The sequence below is a fragment of the Homo sapiens genome, chromosome 16 (assembly GCF_000001405.40).
Source record: "Homo sapiens chromosome 16, GRCh38.p14 Primary Assembly".
Lineage (NCBI taxonomy): Eukaryota > Metazoa > Chordata > Mammalia > Primates > Hominidae > Homo > Homo sapiens.
Genome location: NC_000016.10, coordinates 30,748,172 through 30,767,538, shown reverse-complemented (window position 1 = coordinate 30,767,538; position 19,367 = coordinate 30,748,172). Strand labels below are relative to the sequence as shown.

Below are 19,367 nucleotides of genomic sequence, written 5' to 3'. Positions count from 1 at the left end.
ATCACCACACCTGGCCTAGGTTTTTTCTTTTTTTTTTTTATACATCCAATTCCCTTTAATAGAGAAGGTAACTGTAACATTCACAAAAGTTAGTTAACTTCTTCTAGATTCTTAAATATCACCTTCCCAGTACATTTCCCTGGCCTCCTATTCAAAATTGCAACACCCTTTCTCCTGATACTTCCTATCTTCCTTTTCTGCTTTACTTTCCTATCTGTCAAGAGCTAACACATTTTCCATTTTTCTTCTACTAGTTCGTCTTCCTCTAGTCTGTCTTCTATCAGAATGTTGCTCCACATGGCAGGAATTCTGTTTTGTTCACTGGCATAACCCCAAACCCTAGAACAGAGCCTGGCTCAGAGGTGGCATTTGATAAATCTTTGTAACACAAGTATCTGAGAGACAGAGACGTCATCAGACCAGAAGAATGAGGACAGGGCTGACAGCTCAGACTCTGCATGTGCCTGCTCCATCAGCCACCCCAGCTGGCGGACCCTCACTGTGCCTGGGAGCCAAGCAGTGCAGGCCCTGTTTTGCATAGGAAGCCGAGGCTCTGTGAAAAAAAAGGCCTTAGCCTCTTGCATCTGGATAAGCAGCAGCCCCACACCAGGGCCCAGCACTCCCAGATAAGGCCCCACCTCCGCCCTATCCTCACCACATACCCGCCTGCTCGTTGGCCGCCAGATTCTGCTCAAACTCGATGCGCAGCATCTCATACTCCTTGCGTACCTGGGCCAGCGTGTCCTCCAGCTGAATGACCTCTGTGCGTAGCTTCTTCTGCAGCCCCAGCTCGTCGCTCTGTGGGTTGATGTGTTAAGGACCCACACAGCCCCTCGGTCCCACCTCAGGACTCAGTATCTTAGGAAGAATCTATTCCCCAGGGACCCCTGGCTGGCACACAGGGCCTCGGAAGGCACAAACACGTCAACACTAACGGTTTGGCCCTTAGCCCAGCCCTAACGCCTGTTCCAGGGCCATACCTCCATGTGCTCGATGTGTCGCAGGTGGGAGTTCTTTGTGGCCAGCAGCAGGCCCCGAGCCTCGTCTAGCTGGGTCTTCACTTGCAGAGACTCGTTGTAGAGCAGTGAGAATTGGGCCTGCAGCATGCGGTACTCCCCCGTCTCCCGCACTACCTCCTCAGGAAGGCTCCGCAGGGCCACCTGGGGCAGGGATGCCCAAATGGGATCAGCAACAGGATTCAGGGCTCAGTCCCTCCCTTACAGGCCCAGGACCTCTCAGCCCCTACAGCAGCCCACCTTGAGGCGCTCATTGGTCCGCACAGCCCCCTGAAGTTCGGCCTGCAGTTTCTCCAGCTCTGCCATACGGCTGTTGGCCAGTTCCTGGTTTTCCTCTAACTCTGCATTCAGCATCTCAAACTAAGGAGTGGGAGGCAGGGCCATGGGAGGCAGGGCCAGACGTGGCAGCAGGCCTCCCTTACATCCCCAGCATACACTCCACCCCAAGCACCCCGTGCAGGGCAATGATCGATTCTGACACCCCAAACCAAGTACTTTCCTAAGGGCTCCCAGAAAAATGGGAGAAAATTCAATACTGCATGGTCGGTGCTGGGAACTAAGGCTCTTAACTGATGGGGAGTCACGGAAGGCATTCCAGAAAGGCCTAAAGTGCTAATAAAGGGAAAAAGGGCACAGTGACCACCAGATGCCAACTGACTCCAACTCACTCTTAGCTCTCTCTTCTGTGCTTTATCTTTGTGGTACTCATAACACACTGATATGCTATTTTACTGATTTCTTGTCTGTTACCACAAGTAGAACCTAAAGATATATTCTTTTATTTATTTCTTGTCTGGTCCATGAAAGTTTTGACCTCTATTTTGTTCTCGCCAATATGCCTAGTGCCTAGCACTAAGTGTTCAAAAATCTACTCAACAAGTATATGAATGCATGAAAAAAAGAGCAGCAGGAGTGACCAGGAAGGGCCTCAGAGATGGATGTTTGTCCTTTGTCCTGAGGGGAATTTCAAGAGTGCAACAGAGAAGAGGTTGTGAGAAGGGGTGGGAGGAAAACGCCGCTCACCTTCTGCATGCTGAGTGTGATCTGGCCCCCCTGGAAGCCTGAGGAGCTCCCAGATACATAGTAGCCAGAGTTAAGCTGTGGAGAGAAAACAGACAGGCAATGGATGTAGAGGGGAGGAGCTAAGGCCCAAGGGCCCAGCCTTGCCTCACCTGCCCCAGCACCCCTGCCCCACCTGCTCTAAGGCCTCTGCCAGGTGCTTATTGAGCTTTTGCTCTCGCTTCCGCAGCTTCTCGATGTCCCACTGCAAGTCCTCCACTGTTGTCTCCATCTCCAGCACCTTGGTCTCTGCCGATGTCACTTTATCCTGGAGCTCGGAGTACTGGGAACAATGAGGGAGCAGATGCTTGGATGGGGGACTTGGTTCCTGAGGTCCCTGAGTGCCCATCTAACCCAAATCCTGCCTGATTCTAATCACACCCCCAAAGCCCCCGGCTCCTCACCTCCAATGAGATGCGGTGGTGTTTCTCCTGCAGCTGAGTGGCCAAGTCCTGCAGTCGCCGGTTCTCACGGCCCAGCTCTCGGGTGTGTGCCTGAGCCGCCTCACTGAGGGGCTCACTGTCCCCTGGGAAGGCAGGGCCCAGGTAAGAGCCCAGCTCAGGGCAATGGGGCAAACAACTAACTCATTCTGGAGTCTGCTATATACCCAGTGTGATCCACCAGCTGTCTTGCCCATTTCTCATGACAAAGCCAGGAGTCTTTATCCCCACTGCACAGAGAAGGAAACCAGCTCAGAGAGGGGAGCCACTTTCCCAGCATGTCCAGGTGAGGGTGGCAGAACTAAGGTGGGAGAAGCCTGTCAACCTACAAGGCCTGAGCCCTTGAAGCTATGCCTTGTGGATCCGCAACCCACACCAAGTGCTCCAGAGGGGCCTCTGGCCAGGAGCCTCTACCGGCATCAACAACTCCTCCAACCCATCTCTCTAGCATTCAATCCCGGAATCAAAGTTGGAACCCCCATCTACAGCCTAACCTACCTCTTCCAAGAACATGGCTGATTTATTCCTTGGGAAATTCTGGCCGCCCTTGGACTCGGGCATTAGGGGAATCAGGAAGGGGTGCCATCAAGATGCAGGTGGGGATGGACACCCCTTCAGTATGGGCACAAAGAACCCACCTCGGCTGTACACTCGCTGACAGAGTTCCTCCACCCGGCGCTGTAGGCGGTCTGAGGCCTCTACCACACGAGACACAGCTGCCTTGGAGAACTCCATTCGGCCTTGCAGCTCCAGCTCCACCTCCTCACTGCTGCTGGCACCCAGTGCCACCACAAAAGCCAAGGCCGGCTCACTGAGAGGGGGCCGCAGCTGCATCAGCAAGGGGTCTGGAAGGAATGGACAGACCCTCATGAGGATAAGAGCAGCAGTTACTACCACTCTGTACCAAGTTCCAGACTGAGCCCTTCAATACTCATGGTTCACTTAATCAACACAACCTATAGTGCACTATTATCTCCATCCTGAAAGTGAGACAAATGAAATTCAGGGAGGTAAAGTAATTTCCTCAAAGCTACAGAGTTGCGTATCACATCCTCAGGGAAGCTTCCTGTACTTTACCAATATAATTAGAATCACACGCACATGCATGCACACACAATCATTCCGTTTCAGGAGCCCCAGTACTTTCTGCTTACTATGTTTATAATTTCCTCCCTTATAGCAAGTGCAACACTCATTTCTAGGAAGCGTCAAATACATATTTAATACTCAACCATAATACTGTTTTGAAACAAATGGGTGTCAAAACATGAATTGCTCTATAAACCAAGTTAGTCAGAGTCTAAAGCCTGTGTTTTTGTGCACTGCACTTTACTGCCCAAACATGAAATCCATTTCGTGAGAAGTAGTAAGATAGGCAATTCAGGGGCCCAACACCAAAGTCCCCTCCTCCCCAGGACTTCTCCCAGAACTTAAGCTCCCCAGATCCCAGCACTCTGGTCCTACCTCTCAGCTCTGATGTCCCCGGCTCTGGGAGAGGAGTCCCATCACATGTTGGCCCCTCCTGGGTCCCAGGTGCCTCAGGCGCTGAAGACAGCTCCCCCTGGCTCTCATGGCATCGGAGAAGGGCTTCCACAGTTTCATCCAGCTGGAAGGAGAAAACATCAAAAATGTTATGAATCCCTTAGTGCTTTCCAACATGATACTCCTTTCCTAGCAGGGGAATCTGGGGATTGGCAGCTGAATCAAGGCCTGGTCTTTGAAAGCAGAAGGTATCCACCTGGGCCCAGTAGCGATTGACGATGAGGAGTGTGGCATCATCTGTGGCCTGCCGCTTCTCCAACTTCTCAATTCGTTCTCGGAGTTCATCTTCACAAGCCTGCCGTTGTTCCAGCCGCTCTGCCAGTTTCTTGTTCTTGAACTGTAGTACCTTCAGGTCCATCTCCTCCTACCAAAGGAAACAAAGGGGCCGACGAGAGCGTCAAGCAGGGCCCACAAACCAATCACAGAGAGAGAAAGAGGAGCAGAGCATCTGCAATGCATGGGAGATGGAGGTATTCCCACACTAACCGCTAACAGAATCTAAGGAGGCTCAGACAACACACAGCGAAAGTGTCTTTGTTGTGAGGAGGCTCACGTTGTTTCTGCCTGTCCCCTTGTAAATCCTTAGTCTTTGACAAGTCACACGCCCCCTGGAAACCTGTTTTCCTATCTGTAAAGGGAAGACAGGCGTCGTGTTCTGAGCTTCTTTCTAACCTTTCTTTCAAGGTCCTGTAACGCGGACCTTGCTAAACTTGGGGAAGTGGGTGTAAGATTCCGCACAGTTTGGCCAGAGAACAGAGGGAGGGCTCTGGGAAGTTCTGAGGGTTAAGGCAAGAGCCCACGAACCGTGGAAGAGATGCCTCCAAGACGAATGGGCTCGATAAGAGTCGTGGTGGTCTTCTCCTCACGACTCAGCTTCTTTTCCGGGGGCCCTGAGCCCCCGTCGCCGGCGGCGCGTTTGTTGCCTGGCCCAGACATGGCCGCGGCGGCTGGAGCGATGCAGGGTCCCCTGAGGGGCGTCAAACGGGAGGAGGCGGTACTTCCGTCACCTGCAGAAGACACAGAGCAGAGATGTGGGAACGGCTGGTGTTCCACAGCCCCAAACACCCTCCACCCTGCACACACCTGCTGGATCCCGTCCCCCCCGGCGCCAGAGCCCTCACCAGCAGGAGGGTCAGCCTAGCGCCGCCATCTTGGATTTCACCGGACGTCACTGGGCGTCACTGGACGCCACTGCCCCCCCCCCAACGGTGCGCAGGGCGCAGGCGCCAAAGGCAGCCCCGGATGTGAGGAAACTTCTTTATCTTCTGCTTCTATTGGTTACGCTTGGTCCCGCCACTCGGGTCCTCTGGCTTCTTCCCAAACACCTCCTCTTTCTCTCGGTGATTGGCCAAGAGGCAGTTCCCATAGTAACTGACACCGCGCTCCCACTTCCCAGCCTGGAGGACAGCACCGGCCCTCGTATTAGCAACCTGGAAGAGAGGGCGCCCAGGTGGGCACTCGCAACTTCTCACGTATCTGCGCGTTCTCTTCGCTCCCACTGGCGTGAGCCTGCGCTTTCCGCCTTCCTTCCCTCACAAGCCCCCTTGGCAACCGTCGCCGTTGAGACGGAGGGAGACGCCCCCACGGATTCGCCCCGCCGCGCCTCTCCGCGCGTAGATTGGCCGGAGCGAGGCGAACGGGCCCGGCCTTGGTAGCCGCCGACCGAGCGCTGGCTGTCCTGGAACCTAGGCGGCGGGAGCCCGGGGCGCCTCGCGGCACGGAAGAGCGGCGAGATGCTCAACCGCAAGACCAGCCACTTTTTGGGAATGAGGGTGCAGTCGGAGCTTGAACATCTCTCCGAGCTGCGGCGGGAAGCGGGGAAGGATCGCAGCTCAGTGCATGGGTCGGCCGCGCGGACGCGTGCGAGTGTGCGGACTCAGTGGACGACGGCGGCGGCGGCGAAAGCGGATGAAGACCCCGGAGCCAACTTGTTTCCGGTGAGGGCGGGACAGTCTGGTCTGCTCGTGAATATTTATAAACCGGCTCCCCCGCAGGCGCCACCTGTCATTATGCTTACTAACGTTCGGGACGTCTCCCGGGCTGCTTGGGCGAGGAGAGGCAGGGGTGTGTGACCCCGGTGGTTACTGTGCTCGCGTAGAGCACCTAGGGCCTGCTGAAGCCCTCCCTCGCCCGCGCCTCTCCTTAGTCCTTGAGATGAGATGGCAAGTTACAGCGGCTTCTCCGGCCTGCTGGAGATTCGCTACGGGCCAGGACACCGCAGCTGCCTTCCCCAATTCGCTTTCTTTCCGCAGCCGCCGCTGCCCCGACCCCGGATCTGCATGTGGTGAGTGTGAAGAGACAAAAATTACACTGAATATTTGCGTTCTTTATTGTCTCCCCAACAGTCCTGTCTGTGGCCAGGGCATCCCCATTTTACAGATGAGACTGAGGCCTGGAGATGCAATTACTCCAGGTGACTGGAAGTTGGCTTTCCAGCCTCTCCAGTCCAAAGAGGAGGCAGTGTGAGAAAAAAAGAGCCAAAGACAGAATGTAAATGGAGTCTCATGGCCGCTAAGGAGTATTGTACAGAGGGGGACACTGAGGGCCACAGGGAGTACTTGACCAAGGTCATACAAGGTAGTGGCAGAGCAGAAAAAAGAATTCAAGATTCCTAACCCTAGGCTTTAGAAATGGAGAGGCTCATAAGAGTTCATTTAGGCCCAGAGAGTTAACGATTTGCATAGTCACACAGCAAGCTGGCAAAAGAGCCCAGCTTCACGCCGGTGGCCAACTCCCAGTCTCACGCACTAGCTGTCACAGCCTTGTCATGATAGGTAACGGCCACCAATACTCTTTTTCTTTTACTATAACAGGAAGTACCTGGACGTCCATTCCATGCACCAGCTGGAGAAGACCACCAATGCTGAGATGAGGGAGTAGGGACTGAGGGGGGCGTGGGAAGAGCTCTTGGCAAAGGCTGAGGGGTCAGGTTGGGAAAACATGAGGAATGGCTGACTCCAAAGCATGTGGTGGGTGTAGGGTGATGAAAGGAGGCCCAGTTGTCACTCACTCCTCTCTCCCTCCCAAGGGTGCTGGCTGAGCTGCTGGAGCTAGGGTGTCCTGAGCAGAGCCTGAGGGACGCCATCACCCTGGACCTCTTCTGCCACGCGCTCATTTTCTGCCGCCAGCAGGGCTTCTCACTGGAGCAGACGTCAGCGGCTTGTGCCCTGCTCCAGGATCTTCACAAGGCTTGTATTGGTGAGAGGGGGCAGCTACCAGGTTTGAGCCCCAGGGAGAAGAGGAACCGGGCCTGGCACAAGTGACCATGGGAAGCAGAAGCAGGGGATTTCTGCCTGGAATATGTCATTATTAGTAGCATCATCATACACAAGCCATCAGCTTTCCAATCCACTGCTTCCTTATCTAGAAATTAAGGATACAGCACACATTTTACAGGACTGTTCTGAGAAATAATATATGCAAATATATGCATAGTGCACAATAACACCTGCTTTAGAATGTTTAATAGCTCTTGCTTCAGAATGTTTAATAGCTGAAATGATCTATTTCTTGGTTTATTCCCCTAGAATATAAGCTTCGTAAGGGCAGGACCTTGTCTGTCTTGTTCAGTGCCGAAAACCATACAGTGGGCATATAGTGGGTATTCAGTATTTGTTACATGAGTTAAGGAAACAAGCCAGTGCTGAAACCCAGATCTGTCTGCTTCTGAAGCTCATGGTCATAAACAGCTGTTGAGTGAAGTGAATGAATGGATACCAGAGAGGGCCTCACTGCTGCATCTTGCTTTCCCTACCAGCAACCCCCTTGGGCAACGTGGAGGAGTGCTACCGCTACTTCACCAGTGTCCTTTTTTGCCATGGAGTCAGGGTCAGTTCCCCTGGAACATTCTGGAAACTTTACCCATCCCCAGACAAGGTCTCACCCAGTCTCTCTCACATTCATCACCCTTATCTTCTTGTGAAGACCCCAGTGGGCTCTCCTTGCTCCTGTTGCTGGGCTTTTGGAGGCAAAGCCAGGGCTCCGGAAGGTAGTCAGGGTTCTAATTCCGAGTCACCACCACAGCGGCCTCCTTTCAGCATCGACCTCTTCAAAGAGGAACAGCTGCTGGCCTTGGAAGACTACGTGGTCAACACTTACTTCCGCCACTTCAAGCTCTATAAATACGTCTTCACACCCCAGGTAGGGGGTGGTGGACCATGAGGAGCCACCCTCAACCGCCCCTCCCCTCAGCACAGGTGCACTCCTTTCAGCCTCCCTCTGCCTTGCTTCCCAGGTGCGGCTGGATCTGTCTTTGACTTACATGGGGCTACAGCCACCCAAACTGTGGCCAGAGAGTGAGACGGGTAAGGGAGAGTGCCAGGGCAGGGCTGGGCTGGGCCAGGCCTGGGGCCACAGTCTCTTCCTGCTTCTGGTTTGCAGAGAAAGAAGAAAGCAAGGAGATGGAGGAGCAGGCAGTTACCCCGCAGAAAGAGGAACTAGAGACAGTGGCCCCACCAGAGCCAGAGCCAAGTGAGGATCTGGAGAGGGCAGGCTGCCCTGTCCCTCTGAGCAGGTGTAGAATGAAGGGTTTGGATGACATCAGGACTTCAGACTTTTTGTTTTTAGTCAGAGTCCTTTCTCTAAATGATCCCTTATGCAGAAGTCCAAGATGACAGATAAAAGCACAGCTGCAGGCCAGGCGTGGTGGCTCACACCTGTAATCCCAGCACAATCTGAGGCAGGCGGATTGCCTGAGCTCAGGAGTTCGCGACCAGCCTGGGCAACACCGTGAAACCCCCTATCTACTAAAATACAAAAAATAGCCAGGCATGGTGGTGCGCGCTTGTAGTCCCAGCTACTCAGGAGGCTGAGGCAGGAGAACTGCATGAACCCAGGAGGTGGAGACTGCAGTGAGCCAAGATCTGGCCACTGCACTCCAGCCTGGGCAACAGAGCAAGACTCTGTCTCAAAACAAACAAACAAACAAACAAAAAGCACAGCTGAAGTGGCTCCAGAGAAATGATCATTAGAAAGCCAATGACGGTGGCTTAAAACCTATATGATGGGTTGATGGGTAAAGCAAACCACCATGGCCCATGTATACCTACGTAGCAAACCTGCATGTTCTGCTCGTATCCCAGAACTTAAGAGTTAAAAAAAAACAAAGAACAGGCCAGGTGCAGTGGCTCACAACTGTAATCCCAGCACTTTGGGAGGCTGAGGCAGGCGGATCACGAGGTCAGGAGATCGAGTCCATCCTGGCTAACACTGTGAAACCCCGTCTCTACTAAAAATACAAAAAGTTAGCCGGGCGTGGTGGCGGGTGCCTGTAGTCCCAGCTACTGGGAGGCTGAGGCAGGAGAATGGCATGAACCTGGGAGGCAGAGCTTGCAGTGAGCTGAGATCGCTGCCACTGCACTCCAGCCTGGGGGATAAAGCAAGACTCCATCTCAAAAAAAAAAAAAAAAAGAGAAAGCCAATGACAATAACAGCCAGCACATACTTGGCAATAGGTGTGCAGTGCATGCCCTGCTCTAAGCATTTTACATAAATTAACTCATTTAATCCTCCCTCAATCCTATGTGCTAGGTATCACTATCCACATTTCATACAAGGAAACTGAGGCACAGATAGGTTAAATAACCTGCCTAAGGTCACACAGCTACTGAGTAGGGATCAGAATTTGAAGCTGCAAAGTCCAGCATAGCCACCCTACCCAACTACCTCTCACACAAGGGCTTGCTAACATTTCCTAAAGGGAAACAACATTGCTACCTCTATATCCCCACCAGGGGAAATTTGGGGACTGTTTGCCCAACTAGGGACCATCCCCCCATTGCCAGACAGCATCTCTCCTCACCCTGCCCCTTCTTCCCTGCCCCTGCAGGCCACATCCACGTCCTCCGAGCCTACATCAAGACCCAAGTGAACAAAGAGCTGGAGCAGCTCCAGGGGCTGGTGGAGGAGCGGCTCAAGGCCAGCGAGGAAAGGCTCAGCAGCAAGTTGACTGCACTAGAGCGGCCCTTCCAGCTACCTCCGGGTAAAGGCAAGAGCAAGACCAAGTGACCCCCAACATTTTCCCCAATAAAGGTCTGGGCCAGAATGGCACCATCCCTGCACCCTGCTGAGCACCTTCTGGGCTTTCCTGCCCAAGCCAGACAGACACAGGACACCTGTTCTCCCTGGCGTGTAGCAGATTTTATTTCATATGCAGTGCATGCAGCACTGACCGGGCCAGGCGTGGCGTTCAGAATGGCTCCCTTCCACCCCAGCTCTGATCTCAGAGTCCTGGCCAGTGGGGAGAGAGGTACCGGGCTGGTCTTCAAGAGGGTAGCAGGATCATTAGTGGGCCTGAGGCCAGAGGCCAGAGCCCAGAGGAGCTGGAATGATCAAAACCCTTCTTCTGGAGAGTTCTGCTTCCTGGGAATCCCTGGGGTTGAGGTCCTAGCCCAGCACAAGCACGGCCTCATCCTCAGTTATAGCAGCAGAGTCTCCCTCCTCTTCAGGGCCCATGATGGGAAAAGGCCCAGGGGGCCGGTGCTGAAAGAGAGCCGCCCGGTTCTGCTGCTCCCCTTTCTTTACCCAGTGCCCGTAGAGCCGGAAGGCACAGTTGTCGATGAGGTGCCGCACTGACCGCAGCGCATAAGGGTCCCTCAACAGTGCATTCTTGGTCAGTGGCCGTACACGATGGGTGCTTAGGGCCACTCGTCCAGCAGCCAGCACTGTCCACACTGCCACCTGGGAAGGGGGGCAGGGTGAGCTCTAGTGCAGGGGAAAGATCATGGGACAGAGAAACGGGCCCAGACCCTGATACACTCAGGCTTACCCGGAACCGCTGGCGGGGGGTGAGGTTCCAGGGTTGGCTGCCTTCACAACGCTCAAAGAAGGGGTGCTGTAGGGCCTGCTCAGCTGTCAGGCGTGCCTCAGGATCCACCTGCAGCAGCCTGGAGATCTAGGAGAGACCCAGAGCATGAGGGGCAGCTCTTGGGCCTCCCCTACTGTCCTCTCAGCCCCCGCTCACCAGGTCTTTGACAGTGCTGGAACGGTCATCCCACTCGGGGGAACTGAACTGGTACTGGCCCTCCATGATCATGCGTAACATCAGGATCTGCCGCCGGTGCCAGAAGGGTGGCGAGCCAGCCAGGAGTGTGAACAAGATCACCCCACAGGCCCAGCTGGGAAAGAGACTGGAGTCAGGCGGGACTAGGTGACGGGCAGACCCAGCAAAGGACAGCAAGCACGGGAGGGAGGGGGAGACCAGGAACTCACAGGTCGACCTCCTTGCCATAGCCTGGGTGGGTTTCATCCATGGAGCATTTAAGGATCTCTGGCGCTAGATACCCTGGGGTCCCACACAACTCTGGGGAGAGAGGACCAAGATTGAGGGGATGCCACCAGCCCCTCTAGGGCCCTTAGCACTGGATCTCTGCTGGAGCCTCCTCAACGCTGCCAGGACTACCAGTGTTCCCATCTTCCTTCTGTCTGCCTTCTGCCAAGTCTCCTGCTGAGGCACTATCCCTGCGCAACAGTTGGCTCACCATGGCTCCTGGTGGCCTTCCTAGGAAAACCTGGGTTTTGGATTGATTTCAAGGTCCTTGTTCCACCATATCATTTGCCTCCTCCAACCCTACCTACCCACTATCCAAGCCAACCTACCCACTCCTCACAACTTGTTACCTTAGTTTTATATATATCATAATGCATATGGAAAGATTATGTATTTTTACATACATCATAATACATACGCAAAAAAAAATTTTCTGCATTCCTATCTGCCCAAACCTCTTCCTCCTCCTATAATCTCCAACTATCACTCAACCCAAGGGGAAGAAGTGGAGATAAGGAATTTCTTTTCTTTTTTTTTTGGAGATGGAGTCTTGCCCTGTCGCCTAGTCTGGTGTACAATGGCATGATCTCGGCTCAATGTAACCTCCGCCTCCTGGGTTCAAGCGATTCTCCTGCCTCAGTCTCCCGAGTAGCTGGGATTACAGGCACGTGCCACCACGCCTGGCTAATTTTTTGAATCTTTAGTAGAGACAGGCTTTCACCGTGTTGGCCAGGCTGGTCTTGAACTCCTGACTCGTGATCCGCCCACCTCGGGCTCCCAAAGTGCTGGGATTACAGGCGTGAGCTACCGCGCCCGGCGAGCTATGGGATTTCTTAAAGCACATAATGGGTAAGTCCTTTGTTTAAAACCCTTCCCTGATTCCACATCATGACACATGATCAAATCTACAGTTCTAAAGTCCAGAGCCCTCCAAAACTTTATCCAAGTCTGTATTTTTATATTTATTTATTTTTAGAGACAGGGTCGCTATGTCACACAGGCTGGAGTGTGGTGGCACTATCACAGCTCATTGTAGCCTTGGGCTCCTAGGCTCAAGTGAGCCTCCTCCTTCAGCCTCCCGAGTAGCTGGGGTGACAGATGCGTGCCACCACGCTTGGCTCAAGTCTGTATTTTTAGTTTGTTCTACCACTCGGGCACCAATTCTTCCAGTACTTTCTGAACCTTGTTCCATGGCACACTTCCAGGAGATTTTAACAGCCCCGAATTGAAACTGACTTTGTTGGGAAATTCATTCCTACACCAAGTATTTCTTGAATGCCAAGTTGCACTGATTTGCCAAGTGGCAAATGAGATGAGCCCTTACCGAGCTCACTGTCTACCTGAAGGCAAGTGAGAAATAACAATACAGTAAGACGTGTTGTGAATGAAGAAGATGGGAGAACAGAAAGCAAGGGGACCTAAGCTGCCCTGGAGGTTTAAAGTGAAGCCTGAATTACCCAAGCCAAGGAGAGGATGCAGTGGGCAGAGGCAAAGATGATTCCACAAACGGGAAAAGTACATGTGGAAGCCAAAGGGTTTTAAAGTACAACATCCACCAGACATGTGGGTCCACAGGTTAAGAGTATTAACTCTGGAGTCAGACTGTCCAAGTTCAAATCCTAGCATTAGGACCCTAGAGCAGTCATCTCACCTCTTTGAGCCAATCTATAAAAAAAGAGACACAAATACTGTCTGTCACACAGGGCTGTGGAGAGGATTTAGGGGAATAAGCCATATAAAGACTGGTGCCGACAAGGCACAGTGCTCACACCTGTAATCCCAGCACTTCTGGAGGCTGGGACAGGAGGATCACTTGAGGTCAGGAGTTCAAGACCAGCCTGGCCAACATTGTGAAATTCCATCTCTACTAAAAATACAAAAATGAGCCAGGCGTAGTGGTGGGCACCTGTAATCCCAACTACTTGGGAGGCTGAGGCAGAAGAATAGCTTGAACCCAGGAGGTGGAGATTTCGGTGAGTGAAGATCATGCCACTGCATCCCAGCCTGGGTGACAGAGTGAGACTCTGTCTCAAAAAAAAAAAAAGAAAAAAGAAAAAAAAAGACTGGTGCCTGCCTCACAGGTGAATGCCCAGTAAACGGTAGCTTTTCATAAGTCTAGTACAAACCATTGAGGGAGAGAGTCAGTGGCAGACTAAAGGCTCTGAAGAATCCCACAGGTGAATTTTATTTGAAGTTTCCCATTTGCAGTAGAAACATTCCTGTCACAACAACTGTATTCACATCAGGTGAACCTGAGGCCCAGGGCCCAGGTGGGAAGTGCAGTCTGGACACATCACATCAGGCTCTTGTGGTCCTGCACTCCAGACCCCAAACGTGGCTGAACATGTGGCTCCCTTTTTTACCTCCTCTATGGGGCTCAGGCTGAATTGGCGTTCCTTCCTCCGGGTTCCCCTGGCCTGGCCCTCTGCCCACTGTGCACCACTGTCTGTCTGCCTGCTTGTCTGTCTCCATCCTCCCAGGTCAGGATGCCCACTCTGAGGTAAACATAGGCTTTGCGCCCACAGGATACTTGGCAAGTGCCCAATGACTTCTCCCTTTTTCTTGGCACCAGGGACTTGGTACTCAGACCCAGCCAACCAATCTCATCAGGCCTGGGTCTCCCCTCCCAAGCCTATTAGGGCACTAGATCCCCTCACCTCGAAGCTTCTCGCCAGGTTCCAAGTGGCAGGAGAACCCGAAATCTGAAAGTCGGATCTGCATATTGTCATCTAGGAGAATATTCTCGGGCTTCAGATCTCGATGCACAATGTTGTTGGCATGGAGAAAGCTCACTGCTTCCAGCAGAGACCGCATGATGGACCTGGGGGAAGGGGAGGCGGGTGCAGTCTCCTCCTCGGCTCCTCCCTGCCCTGTCCCACCCCCTGCTCACCCCTGGGGCTTCAGGCTCAACCCTTACCTGGTTTCCTTTTCAGAGAGGGCCACCTTCTCTGTGAGATAGTCAAACAGCTCTCCCTTCCGCATCCTAAGGGAAGGAGGGGCATAGGAGGCAGCTGCATCCCACAGTGGGGGCTGAGAAAACAGACCAGTGCTCATACAAAATATTGTGGAAGAGGCCACTAAAGATAGATCTCTGCAGACAAACCAAAGGGTCTAGAAACACAGCACTCCAACAAGGCAGTTTGGCCTGGTGTGTTGGCAGCTGAAATACCTGCATTATGCCATGATGGGGCAATTATGGCAAAAATAAGAGACTTCTTGTGACAATATAATTTATAGGAGGTTCTTGTTGAGAGTAACTATGCCTGAAAAAGGCCTCTCAAAGTGAATCTATAAAGAAAATGGACCAAAATTTCAGTTTTTTGTGGCACAAAGGTTGAATAGGACCTTATTTTGAAGTTTCGTCTTTAAAAGCTGAGGTTATAATTATGTGTCAATTAAAAATAATACTTTCAAAATTGAGGTTATACTTGCACTCTGCATCAGTCCTCAAAGTAACATTATCAGGTGCTGTTTTGGGGAGTGTAGGCACTCTGCATGGCTGCAGGATGGCATAATAGACATCCTTACGTCCCCTCTGACTTTTGCAGAGGGCCATTTCTGTAAATATATCGAAGCCTTCATGAATTTTTTCCAAGGGCCTCTTTTAAATCTTTGGAATTCAAATCATTCTCTTTCAAAATACCTTTGCAGTTGGTTTGCATTATACCAATTGCATCGGACATTCAGATTCTGACCAGAAAAAGAACTGATGGGCAGAGACAGACACCAGAATAGTTAGCGTGTTAAGCAGCGCGAGAGGCTGGTGAGTGAGGATCTATTTTCTAAGTGGTCAGTCCACTGCTGAACACTCTCTTTTTTTTTGGAGATAGAGTCTCGCTCTGTCACCCAGGCTGGAGTGCAATGGCACGAACTCAGCTCACTGCAACCTCCGCCTCCCGGGTTCAAGCAATTCTCCTGCCTCCCGATTAGCTGGGATTACAGGCACCGACCACCATGCCTGGCCAATTTTTTGTATTTTAGTAGAGACGGGGTTTCGCCATGTTGTCCAGGCTGGTCTTGAAACTACTAACCTCAGGTGATCCACCTGCCTCAGCCTCCCAAAATGCTGGGATTACAGGCATGAGCTACCACGTCTGGCTGGTCACTATTACTTTATTTTTTGAGATGGAGTCTCACTCTGTCGCCCACGCTGGAGTGCAGTGGCGCAATCTGGGCTCACTGCAAGCTCCGCCTCCCGGGTTCATGCCATTCTCCTGCCTCAGCCTCCCGAGTAGCTGGGACTACAGGCGCCCACCACCACGCCCGGCTGATTTTTTGTATTTTTAGTAGAGATGGGGTTTCACTGTGTTAGCCAGGATGGTCTCGATCTCCTGACCTCATGATCCACCCGCCTCGGCCTCCCAAAGTGCTGGGATTACAGGCGTGAGCCACTGCACCCAGCCACTAGTCACTATTAAAGAATTTGCCTCAATCATGGCACCAAGGGAGAAGGCCAGAGCCATGCGCTAGCAGGCAGGCCCAGGTGATAGAGAGCCCCAGCTGGAACAGGAAGGTGTGAGCAGGATGGGTCCAGCCCACTGCACCACAAATGCTGGGCCATACATGGAGGTGGGGAGGAGGCTTCTCAGATGGTGGCAGGGAGATACTCACAGGTCAAACACCAGGAACATGAAGCTAGAAGACTCGTAGGAATCGATGAGGGTGACTAGGGAGAGAGGAAGAGAGGCAGAGAGACAGAGATGGAAAGGAGTGGATGCACATTAACGGGGCTTGGCCACCCTGGGACAGCAGCGGGCTGTTACTGGGAAGAAAGGAGAACCAGAGGAGGCAGTGGGCGCCCAACGGATGGCCACTCTTTAGTGGAATGAAGGGAGGAGAGGTGTGGAGGCAATGTTGGCGGAAGTGGGCTATGGGCAGGGCCAGCAGGAGGTGGGGGGTCGTCTGCTAACAGGAGCAAGGAAGACAGCCTCACTGATGTGGGGGTGGCCGGCGACCTGGCGAAGGATGTGTGTCTCTCGCCGTGTGGCTTCCCGCACCTCCTCCAGCTGCTCAGGACTCAGCCGCTCAGCTGTCACTTCCATAATCTTCACCGCAAACTCGTGGCCAGTAGCTCGATGAACACAACGGCGGACCACAGAGCTCACTCCTCTGCAAGAGCCGGAAAATAGCACAAGTCAGGGCCTCTGTGCTCACATTTCCGCACAGGCTGGGGCCTCAGCATCCTCATGCCCGCTGTGCCAGACTCTGAAGACCCATCTGGATCACAGGGCAACAAGCTTAGGAGCTCACCCTGGCTTCACAGCAGCCTCAGAAACCTGAGTACCCAGCAAGGCACAACACAAAGCTCACAGGGAAGGCAGGTAGGGCCTGGGTTCAAATCCAGGCTCTGCCACTTCCTCCATGGGAAAGCCTAGGCAAGTCCTTCCCACACTGAGCCTCAGCACCTGTTCCTTGCAGGAAGGGGAAAGAAAGATCTAAGTCTCCCTCTATATTCCACTTACACTTGCCTGATTACCCCATCCAAATCCCAAAGTTCCCTCAAGTGTAGGAAGCTCCAAATAAGTAGGAAGCCATTGACTAGAAGACCAAAGCTGAAAATTAGATCTTAGTGCAGACCCCAGATTTGCTACCAATTAACCTAAGTGGTCCCCTGACATAAGGTTCTTGGACTTCAGCTGTGAAATGCAGCCAACAGCATCCTGAAGGGATGTTGAAGGGCATTCATGAGGCACACACAAAGTCCTAGACAAGGATTTCCTTGCTCAGGCTATCACCAACTCCATATGACCCTACACATTCCTCAGACTAAGGAGCAAATCCCTCCAGGATCCAGCCTCAAATCCTGTTTCTTATCCTGGTTCCCTGGCTGCCCTTCGCAGAGCCTTACTGTTATGCTCTCTGGGGCCTCCTTGGCCTCACATAACTCACTTGGGAATTCGGCCACCCACATCTAGTTAAATCAAGGGATGTAAACTATTGATCCACAGGCCAAACACAGCCCTCAGATGTGTTACGTTTTGGCCGGTGCAATTTTTTTTTTATTTTTTTACACAAATCTGAATTCATACATCATAGGTGGGGCAAAACCCTCCACCTTCCACAACACTTCCTACTCTCTTACTCTTGGCCACTTCACAGTTTCAATTTCCTGCGCAACCACTAAGGGCATCTGAGTTTGAGGCCATGTTTTAATTATGACCCAGCTTTAATGAGCCTCTTTGAGAATCTGATGAAAGCTGGAGACATCTACCACACGCATACATTTTTGCGATTTTAAAGACCCCCCCCTGAACTCCTACTCATACCTCAAGACCCAGCCCAAAGGTGACTCCTCCTGAGAAGGTGTGCTTTTCTGGAATCCCATAGCACTTGATACAGACCTCTACCTATCTAGCCTGATGCCTTTTTAACGTTCACGTGCCAATTTCAGTCACTTCGGGTGGAGTACCTCCAGGGCATACGCATCTTTTCTGCCCTCCCCGTGTTGAGCTTTGTGTTGAAGGCATAAATGAATGAATCCGTGAAAAAATGGGGTTGACCCAAGGTAAGAGTCTAGTCACTAGGTGTTCTCCACTGATCACTGATTCTTCCCATTTAGAACTATTCAGTCAACCAGGCGCGGTGGCTCACGCCTGTAATCCCAGCACTTTGGGAGGCTGAGGCGGGCAGATCACGAGATCAGGAGTTCAAGACCAGCGTGGCCAATATGGTGAAACGCCCGCCTCTACTAAAAATATAAATTAGCCGGCGTGGTGGCGCGCGCCTGTAATCCCAGCTACTCGGGAGGCTGAGGCAGGAGAATCACTTGAACCCAGGAGGCAGAGGTTGTAGTGAGCCGAGATCGCGCCACTGCATTCCGGCCTGGGCGACAGAGCGAGACTCCGTCTCAAAAACAAACAAACAAACAAACAAAACCAACTATCCAGTCTTCTCCTGAGAAAACCTGAACTTGAAAGACACACACACACACACAGACACACACACCACCACCACCAGCACCACCAGCACCAGCACCACCACCACCGAAAGACACACACACACACACACACCACCACCAGCACCACCACCAGCACCACCACCAGCACCACCACCACCAGCACCACCACCAGCACCAGCACCACCACCACCAGCACCAGCACCACCAGCAGCAGCAGCAGCAGCAGCACCACCACCACCACCACCACCACCACCACCACCACCACCACCACCACCACCACCACCACCACCACCACCACCACCACCACCACCACCACCCGCGAACTCTCCAGCCTTCAAACGGAAGCGGGAATGCTGGGGCTCGACCTCTTTGGACCTCCGTTTCCCTGGCCGCGGCCTTACCTGCCGATGACGTCCTTAGGGTCGTACTTCTGGTAAAACTCTTTGGCGGCGGCCCAGTCGGGCAGCTCATCCTCCGGCCCCACGTCCAGCGTCATCCTGAAGGAGGCGGGGGCCTGCGCGGAGGAGGAGGGCAGTGAGGGCAGGGAGGCCCACAGGCTCTGAGACGACCCGCATGGCGGCTCCCGGGGGCGCAGCCCTTGCAGCTGGGGCGCCAGGGTCCTGGGGGGTGGGGGGGGGTGGGGGAAGGACCCGGACTGGGGAGACCCCGCAGAAGAGCCTGGGGGCGGGAGGATGGCAGGGCAGGGAGGGGAGTGGGGAGATGTGCCCAGGAGGCAGGGGGAAGGGGCGCAAGGGCAGGCGGCTGTTGCCGCGCAGGCGCATTCGGGCGGGCGCAGGAAGGGGACGGGGGTCTAGCGCAGGCTCACCTGAGGGGGCAGGCAGAGGAGCCAGGGTCGACGCGAGCTGCGCTGTCGCCGGGTTTGCCTGCAGTCGCTCACCTTAACCCCCGGCGGCGGGCGACAACCCAAGGCTCCGCCTCCATCCTGCCCGCCAATGGTCAGCGCCGCCCGAAGACTGAGGCTCAGAAGCCCTTCCAATTGGAAACCGGCCGCCCAATTGGGGCTGGGGCGTGAGTCGGCGCTCGGCTGGACCTAAGGCTGCAACGCGACGCCGGGGCGCGGCTTCAGACGCGGCCAATCACCGAGTGGCATCTGCGGGACAGCAGAGGGCGGAGCTTGTTGTCAC

At 53.4% G+C, this 19,367-nt stretch overlaps 3 protein-coding genes across 16 annotated transcripts in view, besides 13 other annotated features; 1 reads left to right on the top strand and 2 right to left on the bottom strand.

The window, feature by feature from the left end:
- Positions 1–5,927, bottom strand: part of RNF40 (ring finger protein 40) — a 14,696-nt gene extending 8,769 nt beyond the window's left edge. For 2 of the 5 annotated variants that reach the window (XR_007064931.1, NM_014771.4), the window contains exons 1-11: positions 5,179–5,217; positions 4,862–5,064; positions 4,254–4,421; positions 3,980–4,121; positions 3,154–3,360; positions 2,480–2,601; positions 2,212–2,358; positions 2,040–2,114; positions 1,257–1,376; positions 981–1,160; positions 663–798 (exon numbers count right to left, since the gene is read on the bottom strand). Coding sequence is in view for 4 of the 5 variants with exons in the window: in NM_014771.4 (NP_055586.1) it covers positions 663–798; positions 981–1,160; positions 1,257–1,376; positions 2,040–2,114; positions 2,212–2,358; positions 2,480–2,601; positions 3,154–3,360; positions 3,980–4,121; positions 4,254–4,421; positions 4,862–4,993 (1,429 nt within the window). In the remaining variant the exon portion in view is untranslated. 5 annotated transcript variants of the gene reach the window in all.
- Positions 2,761–3,261: an enhancer, noted in NCBI's record as "H3K4me1 hESC enhancer chr16:30775599-30776099 (GRCh37/hg19 assembly coordinates)". NCBI's record gives its function as "activates a minimal SCP1, AML or CMV promoter by ChIP-STARR-seq in naive H9 embryonic stem cells {active_cell/tissue: H9 hESC(naive)}" and the evidence as "EXISTENCE:reporter gene assay evidence [ECO:0000049][PMID:30033119]".
- Positions 3,262–3,762: an enhancer, noted in NCBI's record as "H3K4me1 hESC enhancer chr16:30775098-30775598 (GRCh37/hg19 assembly coordinates)". NCBI's record gives its function as "activates a minimal SCP1, AML or CMV promoter by ChIP-STARR-seq in naive H9 embryonic stem cells {active_cell/tissue: H9 hESC(naive)}" and the evidence as "EXISTENCE:reporter gene assay evidence [ECO:0000049][PMID:30033119]".
- Positions 4,876–5,513: an enhancer, noted in NCBI's record as "H3K27ac hESC enhancer chr16:30773347-30773984 (GRCh37/hg19 assembly coordinates)". NCBI's record gives its function as "activates a minimal SCP1, AML or CMV promoter by ChIP-STARR-seq in primed H9 embryonic stem cells {active_cell/tissue: H9 hESC(primed)}" and the evidence as "EXISTENCE:reporter gene assay evidence [ECO:0000049][PMID:30033119]".
- Positions 4,899–5,008: an enhancer, noted in NCBI's record as "active region_10726". NCBI's record gives its function as "activates an Ori minimal core promoter by ATAC-STARR-seq in GM12878 lymphoblastoid cells {active_cell/tissue: GM12878}" and the evidence as "EXISTENCE:reporter gene assay evidence [ECO:0000049][PMID:35858748]".
- Positions 5,129–5,388: an enhancer, noted in NCBI's record as "active region_10725". NCBI's record gives its function as "activates an Ori minimal core promoter by ATAC-STARR-seq in GM12878 lymphoblastoid cells {active_cell/tissue: GM12878}" and the evidence as "EXISTENCE:reporter gene assay evidence [ECO:0000049][PMID:35858748]".
- Positions 5,469–5,648: an enhancer, noted in NCBI's record as "active region_10724". NCBI's record gives its function as "activates an Ori minimal core promoter by ATAC-STARR-seq in GM12878 lymphoblastoid cells {active_cell/tissue: GM12878}" and the evidence as "EXISTENCE:reporter gene assay evidence [ECO:0000049][PMID:35858748]".
- CFAP119 (cilia and flagella associated protein 119) lies at positions 5,477–10,116 on the top strand. 9 transcript variants are annotated; one of them, NM_001014979.3, is made up of 9 exons: positions 5,477–5,994; positions 6,310–6,341; positions 6,871–6,933; positions 7,086–7,255; positions 7,815–7,885; positions 8,081–8,197; positions 8,292–8,361; positions 8,438–8,527; positions 9,885–10,116. In NM_001014979.3, the coding sequence occupies exons 1-9, from the start codon at positions 5,791–5,793 to the stop codon at positions 10,061–10,063; spliced, it is 996 nt and encodes a 331-aa protein (NP_001014979.2). In that variant the 5' UTR covers positions 5,477–5,790; the 3' UTR covers positions 10,064–10,116. The 9 variants fall into 9 exon arrangements, with proteins under 9 accessions (NP_001014979.2, XP_016879344.1, XP_016879341.1 ...); XM_017023855.3 differs by having other exon boundaries at positions 7,982–8,197; XM_017023852.3 differs by having other exon boundaries at positions 7,815–8,197.
- Positions 5,925–6,154: a silencer, noted in NCBI's record as "fragment chr16:30772706-30772935 (GRCh37/hg19 assembly coordinates)". NCBI's record gives its function as "represses an EF-1alpha promoter that drives an FKBP-Casp9 reporter gene in an ReSE screen in K562 erythroleukemia cells {active_cell/tissue: K562}" and the evidence as "EXISTENCE:reporter gene assay evidence [ECO:0000049][PMID:32094911]".
- Positions 6,239–6,388: an enhancer, noted in NCBI's record as "active region_10723". NCBI's record gives its function as "activates an Ori minimal core promoter by ATAC-STARR-seq in GM12878 lymphoblastoid cells {active_cell/tissue: GM12878}" and the evidence as "EXISTENCE:reporter gene assay evidence [ECO:0000049][PMID:35858748]".
- Positions 6,239–7,552: a biological region, named in NCBI's record as "MED14-independent group 3 enhancer GRCh37_chr16:30771308-30772507".
- Positions 6,353–7,552: an enhancer, noted in NCBI's record as "MED14-independent group 3 enhancer chr16:30771308-30772507 (GRCh37/hg19 assembly coordinates)". NCBI's record gives its function as "activates an origin of replication core promoter dependent on BRD2, BRD4, P300/CBP and CDK7 cofactors, and independent of MED14, by STARR-seq in HCT116 cells {active_cell/tissue: HCT116}" and the evidence as "EXISTENCE:reporter gene assay evidence [ECO:0000049][PMID:35650434]".
- PHKG2 (phosphorylase kinase catalytic subunit gamma 2) lies at positions 6,363–19,114 on the bottom strand. 2 transcript variants are annotated; one of them, NM_001172432.2, is made up of 11 exons: positions 19,049–19,114; positions 18,624–18,736; positions 16,258–16,433; positions 15,936–15,990; positions 14,242–14,307; positions 13,982–14,145; positions 11,267–11,357; positions 11,019–11,172; positions 10,824–10,949; positions 10,580–10,735; positions 6,363–7,420 (listed from the first exon to the last, which is right to left on the bottom strand). In NM_001172432.2, the coding sequence occupies exons 2-11, from the start codon at positions 18,716–18,718 to the stop codon at positions 7,379–7,381; spliced, it is 1,125 nt and encodes a 374-aa protein (NP_001165903.1). In that variant the 5' UTR covers positions 18,719–18,736; positions 19,049–19,114; the 3' UTR covers positions 6,363–7,378. The 2 variants fall into 2 exon arrangements, with proteins under 2 accessions (NP_001165903.1, NP_000285.1); NM_000294.3 differs by having other exon boundaries at positions 6,363–10,735.
- Positions 8,517–8,616: an enhancer, noted in NCBI's record as "active region_10722". NCBI's record gives its function as "activates an Ori minimal core promoter by ATAC-STARR-seq in GM12878 lymphoblastoid cells {active_cell/tissue: GM12878}" and the evidence as "EXISTENCE:reporter gene assay evidence [ECO:0000049][PMID:35858748]".
- Positions 18,888–19,027: a silencer, noted in NCBI's record as "silent region_7392". NCBI's record gives its function as "represses an Ori minimal core promoter by ATAC-STARR-seq in GM12878 lymphoblastoid cells {active_cell/tissue: GM12878}" and the evidence as "EXISTENCE:reporter gene assay evidence [ECO:0000049][PMID:35858748]".
- Positions 19,068–19,367: a silencer, noted in NCBI's record as "silent region_7391". NCBI's record gives its function as "represses an Ori minimal core promoter by ATAC-STARR-seq in GM12878 lymphoblastoid cells {active_cell/tissue: GM12878}" and the evidence as "EXISTENCE:reporter gene assay evidence [ECO:0000049][PMID:35858748]".